This window comes from Homo sapiens, chromosome 12 (genome assembly GCF_000001405.40).
Source record: "Homo sapiens chromosome 12, GRCh38.p14 Primary Assembly".
Lineage (NCBI taxonomy): Eukaryota > Metazoa > Chordata > Mammalia > Primates > Hominidae > Homo > Homo sapiens.
Window position 1 is genome coordinate 18,973,754 of NC_000012.12, and position 16,558 is coordinate 18,990,311.

Below are 16,558 nucleotides of genomic sequence, written 5' to 3' on the forward strand. Positions count from 1 at the left end.
TAAAGTATTTGCAGATTCCCGTAAGAAAGGTAACGTAATGTAGCATGTACGAACTAACCCAATGGGTCAAAGCAGTAGGCACATTATGTATCATAGTTTAATTGTCTCGTTGAGAAATATTACATCAGTCATTCATCCCAGGAGAGAAATGTGAACTTTTTCTCTGCAAGCATTTTTTTCTCCAAAATTAAACACAGTTATACCTCACTTTATTAAATTATGAAAATGATATATACTGGGACCACAGGAGTTCAGCCTCTCACAGCATTGCTTTGACTGAGCTATGTTTTAATGATACCTTAAGCTTCCACGAAATATTGCTATAAGAAACAGTCAAAAGACGTTTGCCTATGCGTTTGCTGCTTAAAAAAATAGTTGGGTAGATTATCAAACCTATCACTCAATGCCTGCTACAAAGAAAAGCCCCTTCCCGAAGGTCACAACAGATAAGTAAAACTAAAAAAATTGAAAAAAAAAAATTTTAAGAAAAAGAAAAGCCCCTCAGATAAATGTATTCTAGGATATGCTGCCAGGAAAAAAAAAAAAAAAAAAAATCCTGTATTTTCTAAGACCTGTGCTTCTTCCTTTTAAAGAAGAAGAAGCATGCAACTAATTGTATTCCCCCTTTTGCACTGACTGCCAGGAATCTCACAAGCAAGTATCACGTTCAGTATGGCAGTGACTTAATCCACATGACATCATTTTGCATTCTCCATTTTTCCATAGATCTGATTTTCTATATCTATTTTATTACTTTTTATCAACATTATTGCCAGGCACAATGGCTCATGCCTGTAATCCCAGCACTTTGGGAGGCCGAGGCGGGCAGATCACGAGGTCAGGAGTTCAAGACCAGCCTGACCAACATGGTGAAACCCCATCTCTACTAAAAATACAAAAATTAGCCAGGCGTGGTAGCACACGTGCCTGTAACTCCAGCTACTCACGGGGCTGAGGCAGGAAAATCACTTGAAAACAGGAGGCGTAGGTTGCAGAGAGCCGAGATCGAGCCATTGCACTCCAGCCTGGGTGACAGAACGAGACTCCGTCTCAAAAAAAAAAAAATACATATATGTATACACATATACATATATATGTGTATATATACATATATATATACATATATACATACATACATACATATATATGTACATATATATGATACTTTAAATTATTTTGGGGAAAGGATTAGTTATCAGTAAATTCTACTGGTTATCAGTAAATATTGTAAAAGCTATTTTAAATTCTCTTGAGGAAAGGATTGGAATCAATTCAATCAATTGTCCAGATAGCAGTTATATGGCAGCATATATCTCTGAAATACAGTTAATCAAAAAAGTAAAATAAAATTACTCTAAAAAGCTCAAATCTAGTTACAAGAGCTTTGCACCAAAGGTCACACATGTTGCACCAATGGAATGTCTCTATCTTCATTTAAAGCTATTTTATTTAGACACTATTCTAACAGGCTTGGCTATTGTGTTTCTTAGGGCACAGAAATATGAAACAGGATAAACTGCTAGAAATTATTTAGCAAAAATAATTTACAAATGACAGTAAGAAGAGAGGGTAGACAACTATAAAACATAACCAAAAGAGGTCAGGCCCTTGCTAATCCAGAGTCATTTTATATAAAGCAGAATTTCTCAAGGTGTGGGCCTAAAGCACTTACATTAGAATCACCTGAGGATTTGTTTAAAAGGTAAGGTTCTGAGCCGCATATTAGAATCTTGGAGGGTGTGGCCCAGAAAAGCACATTTTTCATAAGCATATTAGGTGATTCTTACATAAAGGACAGTTTGAGAATCACAAAGACACTGACAACTCTGTAACTCAGTGGGCCTTTGGGGCCCAACCACACATCAAACCCAGAAACATCAAAAATTATTTCAGAACTTTTGTCTTTTGGAAAACGGGAAGGTATGTGGTAAATTCTAGAAAGGCTATCCTTGAAAATTGTTAATACTACACCATTTATTTAGTGTTTTTATATTGCTGTGCAACAGGGCAATTTTCAACACATCCAGATAATCGAAGAACTATGACTCTCAAGAACTGTGAAAGGATTTTACCCTACTTGCAAGCTAATAAGTTAGCCTGCCACAGTTTCATAGATGCTGGCAGAAGACATGAGACTACTGGGTCAGAGACAAAGGACTTTATTACTCACAGCACAGCAAGAAGCATGAGATTCATATTTGTCAGTTCCCTTTCCACCCTCAAGTCCTTCAAGGGCCATGCAGAGGGGCCCAGGTGGGTTTATGTCACATCTGATGGAATACAAGCATTGGAATCCCCAATCTTTTATCATAAGAGTTAACAAACCAGCCTGAACTTTGCGGTGGAGGGAGGCATTATCTTTATTATACTGGGCAATAAATCTGCTCGCCGCTACAGAGGGAAACACTATATCTTTCAAGGCTGTTCACTACACAAATATTCTTAAAGAGATAATCTGGAATAAAGGCTCTCTGTGCTCTGCCCACAGATGTGCAAAAACAAGAGACCCACAGAGAGGTGGCTCCCAACAGTGACCTTCCTCTTTGGGCTCTAGAGTGTTGTGTGTTTCCATTCAGAATGCAAGTGTTTGTTGTCACTTGGATAAGAAAGTGGTTGTTTTTCCTTCTACACCACTGGTTGCTCCTTCTTTGTTTTCTTTATCAATCATTCCTGTACCCCTAACCTCTGAATGATGGAATATTCCAGGGCTTAGGCCTTCTTGTTCTTTTCTCTGCCTACAATTACCCTTTCAGTGATCTCATCTAATCTCATACCTAAATAGCATCTATATTGTCAACAACTGCCATATTTGTATCTCCACTCCAGAACCTCCTCTGAACTCCCAACCTGTAGGACTGCCTAATTGGATTTCCACTTGGATATGTAATATATATCTTAAACTTTAGATCTACGTTCCACCTGTGGTCTTCCTCAGTTTAGTTGACTGACAACTGTAGCCTTTCAATTACTCAGGCCAAATATGTTAGAGCCATTCTTGACTCTTCTCTTTCTCTCAGATCCCATGTCTAATTCATCAGGACATACTGTTGGCCTTATCTTAAAGTATATCTCACCACCTCCACTGGTACCTGCCTGATCTGGTTTACCATCATCTCTATACGTGATTACTGAAATAGGTTTCTAAACTACCTCTCTTCTACCACCTATGGCTCCTCCCAAATCCTCCCCCAAAACACACACATATACACATAGTGAATTGTAAAAGTCAGCTCATTTCACTCCTCTGCACAACAATCTTAACTGGATTCAGGAGGGCTTCTCCATTCCTTTTATTTCTCTGACCTCTGCTGGTACCACTCTCTCCCCCGAGTCTCACTAGACTTTCTGTTGCTTGAACAATTTTGGTCAAAGTCAGAGTGTACTAATTTCCTATTACCATTGTAACAACTTACCACAACGTCTGTGGCTTAAAACGACACAAATGTATTCTCTTACAGTCTGGAGTTTAGAAGTCTGCAATCAGTTTCACCGGACTAAAGCCAAGGCTCCAGCAAGGATGGTTCCTTCTGGAGGCTCGGAGGGGAAGGTCCATTCCTCTGCCTTTTTCAGCTTCTGGTGGCCTCCTGTATTCCTTGGCTCAGGGCCCCTTCCTCCATCTTCAGAGTGCATCACTCCAACCCTTGCTTCTATCACCGCATTTACTTCTCCTGATTCTGGCTTTTCCTGTACACTCCTTCTTATAAGGAGTTAGATTACCTTGCACCCACTTCAATAATCCAGATAATCTTCCATATCAAAATCTTTAATTTGATCATATCTGCAAAGTCCCTTTTGTCATATTAAGTAACATTCACAGGTTCTGGGCATTAACAAATGAACATATTTTGGGAGGTCATTATTCAGTCTATCATATCTACCTCAGGCCCTTTGCATTGGTATTCCCTCTGCATGGGATACTTCCCCTAGGTATCCATGTGGCTGATTCCCTCAATTCCTTCAAGTTTGCACTCATGTGTCACCTTCTCAGTGAGGCCAACCCTGACTACCCTATTTTAAATGTCAATGTATTAGTCCATTTTCATGCGGCTAATAAAGACATACCCAATGCTGGGTAATTTATAAATAAAAAGAGGTTTAGGCCGGGCACGGTGGCTCACGCTTGTAATCCCAGCACTTTGGGAGGCCAAGGTGGGCAGATCACGAGGTCAGGAGATCGAGACCACGGTGAAACCCCATCTCTACTAAAAATACAAAAAATTGGGCGGGTGTGGTGGCAGGCGCCTGTAGTCCCAACTACTCGGAGAGGCTGAAGCAGGAGAATGGCGTGAACCCAGGAGGCAGAGCTTGTAGTGAGCCAAGATCAGGCCACTGCACTCCAGCCTGGGCGACACAGTGAGACTCCATCTCAAAAATAAATAAATAAATAAATAAATAAATAAATATAAAAGGAGGTTTAATGGACTCACTGTTCCACATGGCAGGGGAGGCCTCATAATCATGGTGGAAGGCAAAAGCCACATCTTACATGGCGGCAAACAAGAGAGAAATGAGAGCCAAGAGAAAGGGGAAAGCTCTTATAAAACCATCAAATCTCATGACACTTATTCACTACCATGAGAACAGGATGAGGAAACCACCCCCGTGATTCAGTTATCTCCCACCAGGTTCCTCCCACAACACACGGGAATTATGGGAGCTACAATTCAAGATGAGATTTGGGTGGGGACACAGCCAAACCATATTAGGCCATAATCAACAACTCCTCACCCCATTTTCATCATCCTATTTACTCCCCTATCTTACCTGCTCTAGCTTTTTCCCATAGTACCAATCACCTTCCAACATACTGAATAATTTATTTTTTATAGTCCATCTTCCTGCATTAGAATGTATGCTCCTTGAGGTTCTGCTGTGCTCATTGATATATCTTAAACACATAACAGTACCTGGCACATATTAAGACTTCAGTAAGTATTTGTTAAATAAATATGTCATAGATCTCACAAACCCAGACACCAAAATAAGGAAATTTTTAAAATGTCAAATAATAATAGCTCAGACTCCTGCTGCTCTTCGTTTCAGAAATTAAATCCCCACATATCTTGTCAATTATTAATGCCAGTTCCTTTATGAGAAAACTCCTCTGCTGCTATGTACACCTATCTCCTTTTGTGCTTGCATGACAACTGCATTCCTACTTCCTCAGCACGGGGGAATTCTGTCCCCAGTTCTTCACAGCTCAAAGGCAGACCAGCATTTTTAACAGATACGTGAGGATAACTAAGGGACAAACAAAACAGAGTAGCTTGAACTGTGAATGGGGTCTACTATGGCATAAAAAAATTATTTTGAGCTGATGGCATTTGAGTTACTGAGATTCCTTATCTGCCTAAAAGCAGGGCCCCCCAACAACTCAATTTTCATAAATACCCTTTCTGAGAGCAACTCTAATCTTTCCTTAGAGAAAATCGAGAAGTTGGCACCACACCCAAATAGACGTTGTTACAAAACTATCCTATCTCCCATCTATTCTAAGAACCATTCATCTTTCCAAAAAGTCATTTTTCTTTTCATAAATGCCCTTTCTCCACACCCCCTCACCTAAAAAGTCATCTTTTCTGCCAAAAGTGTCCCTTTCCCCTTCCCCATCTCTGTTTAAGATGGTATATAAGCCCCAAATTCTAACCACCACCTTGAGTCATGTTTTTCTGTGAACTTCTGCATAAAAATCTGTCTTTTCTCTTGCTGATCTGTCTTTTGTCAGTTTAACGTACAGGCCTCCAAGCACAGAATCTAAAAAGGCAGAGAAAGTTTTTTTTTCTCCAACAACTGCTATTTGAAGTGGTCACTCTTAGAATCTAAAACAAAAATTCAATTTCAGAACTCTTGCCTGGTTTTGTTACCGGAAGACGGTCTGGATCCAGACCCCAAGAGAGGGTTCTTGGATCTCGCACAAGAAAAAATTTGAGGCAAATCCATAAAGTGAAAGCAAGTTTATTAAGAAAGTAAAGGAATAAAGAATGGTTATTCCATAGGCAGAGCAGCAGCTTGGGCTGCTCAGTGATTATACTTGTATTAATAGTTATTTCTTGAATATATGCTAAACAAGGGGTGGATTATTCATGAATTTTCTGGGAAATGGGTGAGCAATTCCCAGAACTGAGGGTTCCTCCCACTTCTAGACTATATAGGGTAACTTCCTGAGGTTGCCATGGCATATATAAACTGTCATGGTGCTAGTGGGAGTGTCTTTTAGCATGTTGAGGTATAATAATTAGTGTATAATGAGCAGTGGGGACAACCAGAGGTCACTTTTGTTGCCATCTTGGTTTTGATAGATTTTGGCCAGCTTCTTTACTGCAACCTGCATTATCAGCAAGGTCTTTGTGACCCGTATCTTATGCTGACCTCCTATCTCATCCTGTGACTAAGAATGCCTAACCTCCTGGGAATACAGCCCAGTAGGTCTCAGCCTTATTTTACCCAGCCCCTATTCAAGATGGAGTTGTTCTACTTCTAACACTTCTGACAATTTCCATAATTTCTCCAGGTGCAGAGGCCTGCTCATCTTTTCTACTACAGAGGAGGTTCAGGTACCTGTCTACAAGCAAAACTGTTGTCTCACTCAAAGAGAATAACTAAATATTTGCCTCCAAAAATTTTTATCTCTCTGCCCCAGAACTGACCTCTTGCAACAGTAATTTATAAGAGATATTCCATCTCCAACCCACTGGAAGTTAGTCTTGCCCTAAGAGTTGTAAAAGGACAATCCATTGTAATTCAATACTTGCACATTTTCCTAAAGTCTATGTTATTCGATTTTAATAAAATTATTTGCAGTCCTTCAACAGAACAGTTTAGAAAAGTAAAATTTAACAATCTCAGTCAAATCCCTTTTTGAGTCCCCTCCCTGAATTTGAGGTATCCATTTGCCTGTGCATTCTTCCTACTGAAGTGGTTATCTCTCCTAATCTTTGACAAGTACTTGGACCATGGCATGAGCGAGAGTGAAGCGGCTTCATTGTCTAGGGTAAATACTCAGGGTTCATCGTCTCACGCCAAGAAAATTTAGGACACAGACACACCCAAGAAGTTTATGAGTGGAGGTTTAATAGGCAGAAGAAAAGAGAAAGGGGAAACAGCTCTCTCTCTAGTGAGAAAGAGGGGCTTTTGAGGAAAAGGCCGGGTGGAGTTCGCCGGATTTTATAGGCAGACTTGAGGAGGTGGTGTCTGATTTACCTAGGGCACACAGATTGGTTCAGTCAGGTATGATATTTACATAGCGCTGGGAAGGCAGGCCACCCAACCCTAATCTTATTATGCAAATGGAGTTTCCACTTGACCAGCAACATCTTGTCTGCTCCGCTGTACACGTGGATGGCAAAGAGAAAAGGGAAGATGGAGCCGCCATTTTTAACATGATTGGCACAACCCCCAGCAGCTATGTCTGCAGCTCGATTTTACAGGCTGCTGTTTGTTAGAAAATGATTTGGCACTACTTTTCATTAAAAAGGAAAACCTTACCAAGAACTCCAGTATCCTCACTATCTGCCTAAGTAATTTATTCTTAACTCCTGTATCAAGAGTACACATGCAATCTCCACAAGAACAATCATTTTCAGAGACTATAGGACCTACATTTAGAGGGGAAAACAAATTCTCTAAAGAAAACATGAAGGATCTACTCAATTTCATGACTATACAGAATATGATCTCCATCTGAAACATCTGCTTCCGTTTATCTCACACCACCTTTAGGCCTTCCCCAACTGTAAAGGTGGAAAAAAAAGGACAACATTTGAAAGAAGTCTTCAAATGCATATCTAAAAGCCTTAGTCAAGAGATTTTCCCAAAACAAAAGAGCAGTTTACCTTTAAAACTGAATTCAAATTGCCCCCAGAAAGCTACGAGGTTTCTAGATTGGCAGGTTTTTTAAAGCTTAAAGAAAAACAACAAAAAAAGTTGAGGCTGAGGTCCAAGTAATAGTCACCCAGTTTTACTAAAAGTTGAATAATAATTTTTCTGAGGTGTCAAAACAATGTTTCAAAATGTAAAAAGAATTCTAAAATAGCAACTTCTTTCTAAAATATTTTAAAATCATGTTTGCAGAACTCTGAGCACCTTATTTGGTGAAATGAGTGTCCATAGAACACCTGTCTCCAAAAGGACAGAAATGACAAACAGAAGAGGGAGGGCCAGAAGAGGTCTAGACCTCAAGACTGACTGGACAGTTAATGTCACCTGCTAGGTGAGGCCTTCTCCAGCCACCTCATCAAAATATTTCACCAACCACACTCCACCTGAACACACATTCACATACTCACACATACACACTTCCTAATGTAAGGAAGGAAAAAGATACCTTTTTCTCATACCTTCCTAGGTTGTCTGGCTGGGAATCTGTAAATTAGACTAACAAAAGACAGGTTAACAGAGAAAAGCATACAAATTTATTTAATATAATTTTTACAGGACACTGGAGCCTTCACAAGGAAATGAAGACCCAACTATGTGGTTAAGCCTAAGCATTTTTATACTAGGTTTGATGAAGAGTGGAACATTGTGGAAAAACATGATAGTGAGAGAAGAGAGACAGACCCTCTCATATTGTTTTATATTGTTTTATACTCAAAAGAAAAGAAAAGCGAAACAAAAGGCAGGTAGCCCAGGGTCTAGGAACCAGATTCGAAACTGAGGAACCAGACCCGAAACCAGGCCTGGGCCTGCCTGACCTAAGCCTGGTAGTTAAAGATTGACCCCTAACCTAACTGGTTATGTTATCTATAGATTCCAGACATCGTATAGAAAAGACATTGTGAGACTTCCCGATCTGTTGTTTCACTCTGACCACTGGTGCATGCAGCCCCTGTCACGTACCCCCTTGCTTGCTCAATCGATCACAACCCTCTCATGCAGACCCCCTTAGAGTTGTGAGCCCTTAAAAGGGACAGGAATTGCTCACTCGGGGAGCTCGGCTCTTGAGACAGGAGTCTTGCCTGATGCTTCTGGCTGAATAGACCACTTCCTTCTTCAACTCTGTGTCTGAGGAGTTTTGTCTGCAGCTGGTCCTGCTACAATAGGACAGAAGGGTATGACTTGCAGGATAGCAAGCTGTAGGAAATTTAACAAGATCTGTTTATTCATATTCCTTTCAGCAGTCTTCCTTCTTCAGAGATAAGGATTCTCCTTTCCTTCAGGTCCAGGGAAGGCACTCACAAGAGGGTCTTAAGACATGCTTCAGAAGAGAAGGCAAAGTAAGAGCCTTTCCCACATTTCTTCAGCTTAAGATATTCAATGTGCCAAAGCGCCATATTGTGGGGTAGTGTGTTCGGAACCCTGTCACTAACCTTATTCCTTGTGGGTTTTTTCTTCTTAACACCCATTATTATGTAATGTTCTATATGTTTCACATATTTGTTTCACTTTGTTTTTTAAGGCCTTATCCACCAGAATGTGAGCTCCATAGGAACAGGGCTTTTTATCAGTTTTACTCACTGTTTGTGTCATTAGGACTCAGGGCAGTGCTTAGCACATGGAAAGTGCTCAATTTGGATGGAGGGATGGATGAATGGATGAATGGATGGATAGATGGATACATGGATGGATGGATGGATACATGCATGCATGCGTGGATGAAAGCATGGTTGCATGAATGGATGGACAGACGGATGCATGGACGGATAAAAAAAATCCCAAAGCTCTACAAAACAAAATGTCAAATTCTAAATAAATCGAGTATGCCAATGAGAACACTTTTTTTAGCAAGTGAACACAGAATTTTGCCCATTTTAAAGTCTTTCAAATTTTTCCTTATAATATAAAACATATACTAGTAGCAGAACATTTAAAAATAAACCATTCCAATGCGTATCAATCTCTCCATGCTAATCATTAAGACCACAAAGGCAAAAACCGGGCCTTGGTAATCAGTGCTTGGTAAGTACTAAGTCCTTAATATGTAGCTAAAGAATAAATGAAGTAAAACAGGATTCTAATTCCCACCAGGGAAGTTAGCAGTGGCAAATTTGCATGGGCCTGCAATAATTTGATTCTTGCCTCCACAGAGGAAAGAATTCAGCCAAGGGGTATAAGGCAGTATAAGAGACCAAGGCAAGTTTTAGAGCAGGAGTGAGAGTTTATTAAAAAGTTTTAGTGCAGGATTGAAAGGAGGTAAAGTACACTTGGAAGAGGGCCAGGCAGGTGACTTGATGTGTCCCATCTGACCCTTGATTTGGGGTTTTTTACATTGGCATGATTCTCAGGTTTGTGTATCTTCTCCCCTGATCCTTCCCTTGGGCGTGCTGTTCACAATGTGGTGGCCTGTCAGCACTTAGGAGTGGCTGCACGCACAGTGTATTTACTAAAGTTGTGCACATGCTCATTTGAGACGTTTTCCCTTACTAGTCAAGTGTCCCTAGAGGAAGGTCATACACCAGTTAAACTCCACCATTTTGCCTCTTAGTGTGCATGCTTCAGCTCACTCACCCAAATCCTGAGATCCTATTGAGAAGTTGCTGATTACCAGTTTCAGGTGTTTTCTATCTATAGGGAGCCTGCCTTTCCCTGGTGCTGACTGTGACCAATTATTATTTTAGAGAGATAGTTTAACAACTGCCTGACCGTCACCTGATGGTTGCCTGACATTTCTGGGATGAGCGGGGCGTCAGGGGGTGGCCTGTGCTGCCCTGCTCACATCTGCCTAACTACCTACTCTAACAATAGTAATCTACAAGTTTCCCTACAAAATATCTGCTTCAGCTTCTTGAGTATGAAATAGTCTTTGAATGTAAATCATTACTTTTTAGAATTTTAAATTCTTTGAATACTGACAAAACCAATCTAAAAATATATTTATTGTTTCCAAGGAATGCATACTTTTAGACAAGTGACCTATGTGTTTTTATTTGCTGCAAATAATACCATAGTTTTAAAAACTCTTATGAGAAAAAATAATACTTTGACATGTTTACTTTAGACTTGATGCTCCTTCCCTAAGGATATTCCCTTATATTTTAAACATGTTGGAGCAATTGGGGTATGAAAATAACCACAAATTATTGTATTAAAAAATTTTCTTTCATAATCCATTTACTTAGAATAGCATTTTCAGAAATCTGTCTCATAGAAGGAAACAAAATTGTTAGACTCCAAACTGAATATGAAACAAATATGCTAACAAATCTTTAAGATGGCAAATTATAAATGGTCTACTGCCATAAGGATAGCCATACAGACAAACAGAATTCAGAGTCCAGAAACACACCATGACATTATCGTCAGTTGATTTCAATAAGCTGCCAAGACAATTCAGTAGGAAAATAATAGTCTTTTTAACAAATGGTGCTGGGACAACTAGACAGCCATATGAAAAAGAATGAAGTTGGAGTCCTACGTCACACCAGACACAAAAATTAACTCACAAACCATACATCTGGTAAAGAGTTAATTCTAAAATATGTAAGGAACTCAAACAGCCCAATAACAGACAAATAAGATTTTAAAACGAGCAAAGGACCTGAATAAACATTTCTCAAAAGATGATGTACAAATAGCCAACAGGTGTATGAAGAATGCTCTCAACATCACTAATCAAAAGAGAAACACAAATTAAAACAACAATGAGATATCACCTGACATCTATTAGAATGGCCATTATCAAAAATACAAAAGATAGCAAGTGTTGGAGAGGATGTGGAGAAAAGGAACCCTTGTACGTTGTTAATGGATATGTAAATTAGTACATACATTGTGGAAAACAGTATTGAGCTTCCTCGAAAAATTAAAAATAAAACTGCCATATGATCCAGCTATCCTGTGTATATTTCCAAAGGAAATGAAATCAATATGTCAAAGCAACATCTGCACTCCCATGTTCATTGCAGTATTATTCACAATAGCCAAGATATGGATTCAATCTAAGTATCCATCAACAGATAAATGGATAAAGATATTTGGTATACATACACAAGAGAATAATATTCAGACTTTTTAAAAAGGCAATCTTGTCATTTGCAACATCATCGATAAACCTGGAGGACATTATGTTAAGTGAAATAAGCCAGGCACAGAAAGACAAATACCACATGACCTCAGTTATATGTGTAATCTAAAAAGTGTAACTCATAGCAGCAGAGAATAGAATGGGGGTTATCAGAGGCTGTGGGAAGGAGTTGTGTCCAAAGATGCAAAATTTCGGTTAGACTGGAGGAATAATTCAAGAGATCTATTGTACATGGTGACTACGGGTTAACACAACACATTGTGTACTTGAAAATTGCTGAGAGAGTATTTTGAGTGCTCTCACCACAAAAAAGTGATAAGTATCTGAAGTAATTTATATATTAATGAACTTGATTTAGCCATTCCACAATGCATACATATGCTATGATTTGAATGTTTGTCCTCTCTAAAACTCATGTTGAAACTTAATCTCCATTGTAACAGCATTAAAAGGGTGGGAAATCTGACCATGGTATTTAAGAGGTGGGACCTTTGCAAGGTAATTAAGATAGATGAAGTCACGAGGGCGGAGCATTAGTGGCTTTATATTAGTAGCATTAGTGGCTTTCTCTTTAGAAAGAGAGACTGATCTAGCATACTCAGCCCTCTTGCCCTATGATGTCTTCTGCCATGTTGTGACACAGCATGAGGCCCTCACCAGAAACCAACCATATATCTGATATCACCTCACATCTACTAGAATGGCTATTATCAAAAACATAAAAGATAGCAAGTGTTGGAGAGGATATGGACAAAATGCAACCCTTGTACACTGTTAGTGGATATGTAAATTAGTACATACATTGTATGTATGAATATGTACGTACAGTGTATGTACTACCTACATTGTATGTATGAATATGTACGTACAATGTATGTACTACCTACATTGTATGTATGAATATGTACGTACAGTGTATGTACTACCTACATTGTATGTATGAATATGTACGTACAATGTATGTACTACCTACATTGTATGTATGAATATGTACGTACAATGTATGTACTACCTACATTGTATGTATGAATATGTACGTACAATGTATGTACTATATACACTGGAGTCCTACCTCACACCAGACAAAAAATATTTCTGCTGCTATAACAAAATGCCACATACTGGGTAATTTATTAGTAACAGAAATTTATTTCTTATAGCTCTGGCAGCTGTGAAGTCCAAGATCAAGATTTCAGTAGATTTGGTGTCTGGGGAGAGCCCACTCCCTGTTGCCAGTCACAATGGCATACACCTGTAATCCCAGCTACCTGGGAGGCTGGGGCAGGAGGATCACTTAAGCCCAGGAGCCTAAGTCCAGCCTGGACAACATAGAGAGACCTCATATCCACAAAATAAATAAAAATAAATTTAAAAGTAATCAAATAAATATTTTAAAAATGAAATTGCCTTGGAGAACAACTCAATATGAACCTCACCTCAATTCTAATTTTGTAGATTTCTACATCTTTCAACTGGAAAGAACCCTAGCAATCTTATTTTCATTTCTGTTTGAGAAAAGACAACCAGAAAACTTTCTTAGACTAAGAAAATATATATGAATTTTCCTTTCTTCTGAAGATCAGATAAGTCAAAGTGCTTTGCAAAGAACTGGCCCTGTAAATATAGTGTATTATAATTGTCACTTTCTTCACATTAAAGTTCATAAATGAAAGAATAGGAGTGTATGCTTTTTCTCTTTGGCCCCCTCGTCTAGCTTTCCACGCAGCTTTAACAGAATTTCAAACCAAGTATTCCTCTCCCTCTAAGAGGGATTTGAATATTACATGAGAAGGCTTAAAAGCATATAGGAAAAACCTGCTTCCTGAAAGTCTTCATTGATTGAACTTGCTTCAGAAGGCCACTTGCTCCCTCTCCTCCTTCAGCCTCCAACTCCCTCCCAAAAACAGAGGGGGAAAATCAATGTTTTGTTTCTCAGTGCTGTCAAAGGCTATGGCTAAATAGCAAAAACAAGTAAGAGTGATATGGATATATACTTCCCTCCTGAACTACTGAATAAATATTAAAGCAGTAATCCAGATATCTTTTTGTGCATGAGCCTTTAATTGTAAAATAGGAAGAGTGTAAACAACAGACTTTTCTACTGAGGATTTAAAAACAATTTTACAATATTGGAAAAATAGTTTAACATTAAAATTGAGAGGAAAATTTATGGAAATAGGCCTATGTGTTCCAAAAGCAATGGAAGGGAAAAAATGAGATCACAAAGTTACTGAGTTCTTAGTGAAAAAAAACATAACCTTGCAGTTCTTCACCATTCTAGTCAAGTTTCCATCAAATTCTGGTGAGAGTACTAAAGAAAAAAGTTGAATCAATCAGGTTTCTAATACACCACTCTAAAAGAAACGTTAAGATGCTGGTCTACATATCTAGCAAAAGTTGTTCAGAAGTGTTTATTGTCATTTTGTCTAAATCTGTTCCTGCTCCTGTAACAAAATACTATAGACTGGGTAATTTATAAATAATGGAAACGTATTTCTCACAGTTTTGGAGGCTGGGAAGTCTAAGATCAAACTGCCGGCAGATTTGATTCAGTGTCTGAAGGCTTGGTCTCTGCTTCTGAGATGGTATCTTGTTGCTGCCTCCTCCAGTGGTGGCAAACACTGTGCTCTCACATGGTGAAAGTGATGGAAGGGCAAAAGGATCTACTTGGTTGCCTCCAGCCTTTTATAAGTGCATTAGTTCTATCCACGAGAGCAGAGCCCTCAAACCTAATCACCATCTAAAGACCCCACCTTTTTTTAATTATTGTTATTCTTTCTTTTAGATACAAGGTCTTCCTCTGTCTCCCAGGCTGGGATGCATTGACGCAATCATAGCTCACTATAACCTGGAACTCCTGGGCTCAAGCGAACCTCCCCCATCAGCCTCCTAAGTAGCTAAGACCACAGGTGCAAGCTACCACGCCCCACTGATTTTTAACTCTTTTTTGTAACCCTCCTGCCTCACCTCAGCCTCCTAAATTGTTGGGATTACAGGGGTGAGCCACTGTGCCCGGCCCTAGAAAATTTAGTAATCAACGCAATGGCTGAATTTTATGATTTATAGTTGCAAAAAGACAAGGGGACAATTCCCAGAGGAGTAGATTTGTGAAATGTCTTAAGGAAAGTGTAGGATTTTCTCTGGAAAAAAAAAAAAAAAAAAAAAAGCGAGTTTAAGGGAAGTCCTTTAGAAGCAAAAAGACCAAGACCAAAATGGTAAGGCTGAGGCCAAATCAGGCAGAACCCTTTCGGTTAGGAAAAGCAGTTTGGACTTCATCCTGTAGAGTACACTTTGCTGGGCCACTGAAGAGTTTACCACCAGGGTAGACCATGCTAATTGCATAGTGTCACCTTTTCTGAAATTCCTATACATTTCAGCCAAATGTTATAAACTATTTTAAAGTGAGATATTTCTCACTAGAAACCTTTAAAATGTGACTGTCTGATAATTATGCTGTAAACCATTGCTCTGTGTCTTATTACACTCAGACCTGCTTGCTATCTGCTTTACAGACTCTTACTTGCTTTTGCCTTTGATGTTTTGTGTACCTGTTTATGTTTATCAGTCTAAAGTTGCTCTCTATTACTGCATTTGTAAAAATCAATTGGGGAGCTAATCATCAGACTCCAGTGATCTTGTTTGCACCATTTCAGAGTATTCATCATGTACACACATTGGTTTTCATCCAAATAAATTCTAGCCAGATACAAGCTATGATTTTTAAAATTGCCCTACTATAAACAGGAAGCCAGCTACTTAGGTAAACAAAAACAGCAAAGTCTCTTCCTTAATACAAAGAGTCGGAAATCGATTACAATCAGGCTATATGCTGGGAATCTGACCAATCTTGGTTCCCAAGTGAAGTCAATATTTGCTCGACATTTATTTAAAAGAAGTGTAAATCATCAACCACGCCTCACTTAGCCCCTTAAGTTATACAGTCATCTGTCAAGATACGTGAGGAATTAGTTCAGGACCCCGCAGGATTCGAAAATCTATGGATGTTCAAGTCCCTTATATAAAATGGTGTAGTATTTGCAGATAACCTATGCATATAGCCCTATATACTTTACATTATTTCTAGATTGTTTGTAATTTCTAATGCAATGTAAATGCTTTGTAAATAGTTGTTATACTGCATTGTTTAGGGGATAATGACAAGAAAAAAATCTATACATGTTCCGCAGAGACATAACCATCTTTTTTTTCCCAAATATTTTCAATCCCAGGTTGGTCGAATCCACAGATACAAACCTACAAATACAAAGGGCCAACTCTACTCTAGAATAGTTTGAATGACACTTAGACTACAGCTGGACATGAGCTGTAGTTTAAGAGTTTCTAATTGTGTAGAAGTCTTGCTAAAAGGATTACTCTAGAACAAACATTTTCATCATATAAATCATTCCTACTTTGTCATGACAGTATTTTATTCTGAACTTCTAAATACTTACCAAAGCTACCTCAAGGTAAAGAGAAAACATTCAATAGCTCCTTTCATTAACGAGATAAAGCAAATACGTACTACATGGAATCTGCCTATTTTTGTTTTATTTTTATCTCAAAACGAAGGAGTCATAGTTTCACTACTTGAAA

At 38.8% G+C, this 16,558-nt stretch overlaps 1 annotated feature.

Moving 5' to 3' along the window:
• Positions 9,009-9,209: a silencer, noted in NCBI's record as "peak1589 fragment used in MPRA reporter construct". NCBI's record gives its function as "represses an SCP1 promoter by STARR-seq MPRAs in K562 erythroleukemia cells {active_cell/tissue: K562}" and the evidence as "EXISTENCE:reporter gene assay evidence [ECO:0000049][PMID:32103011]".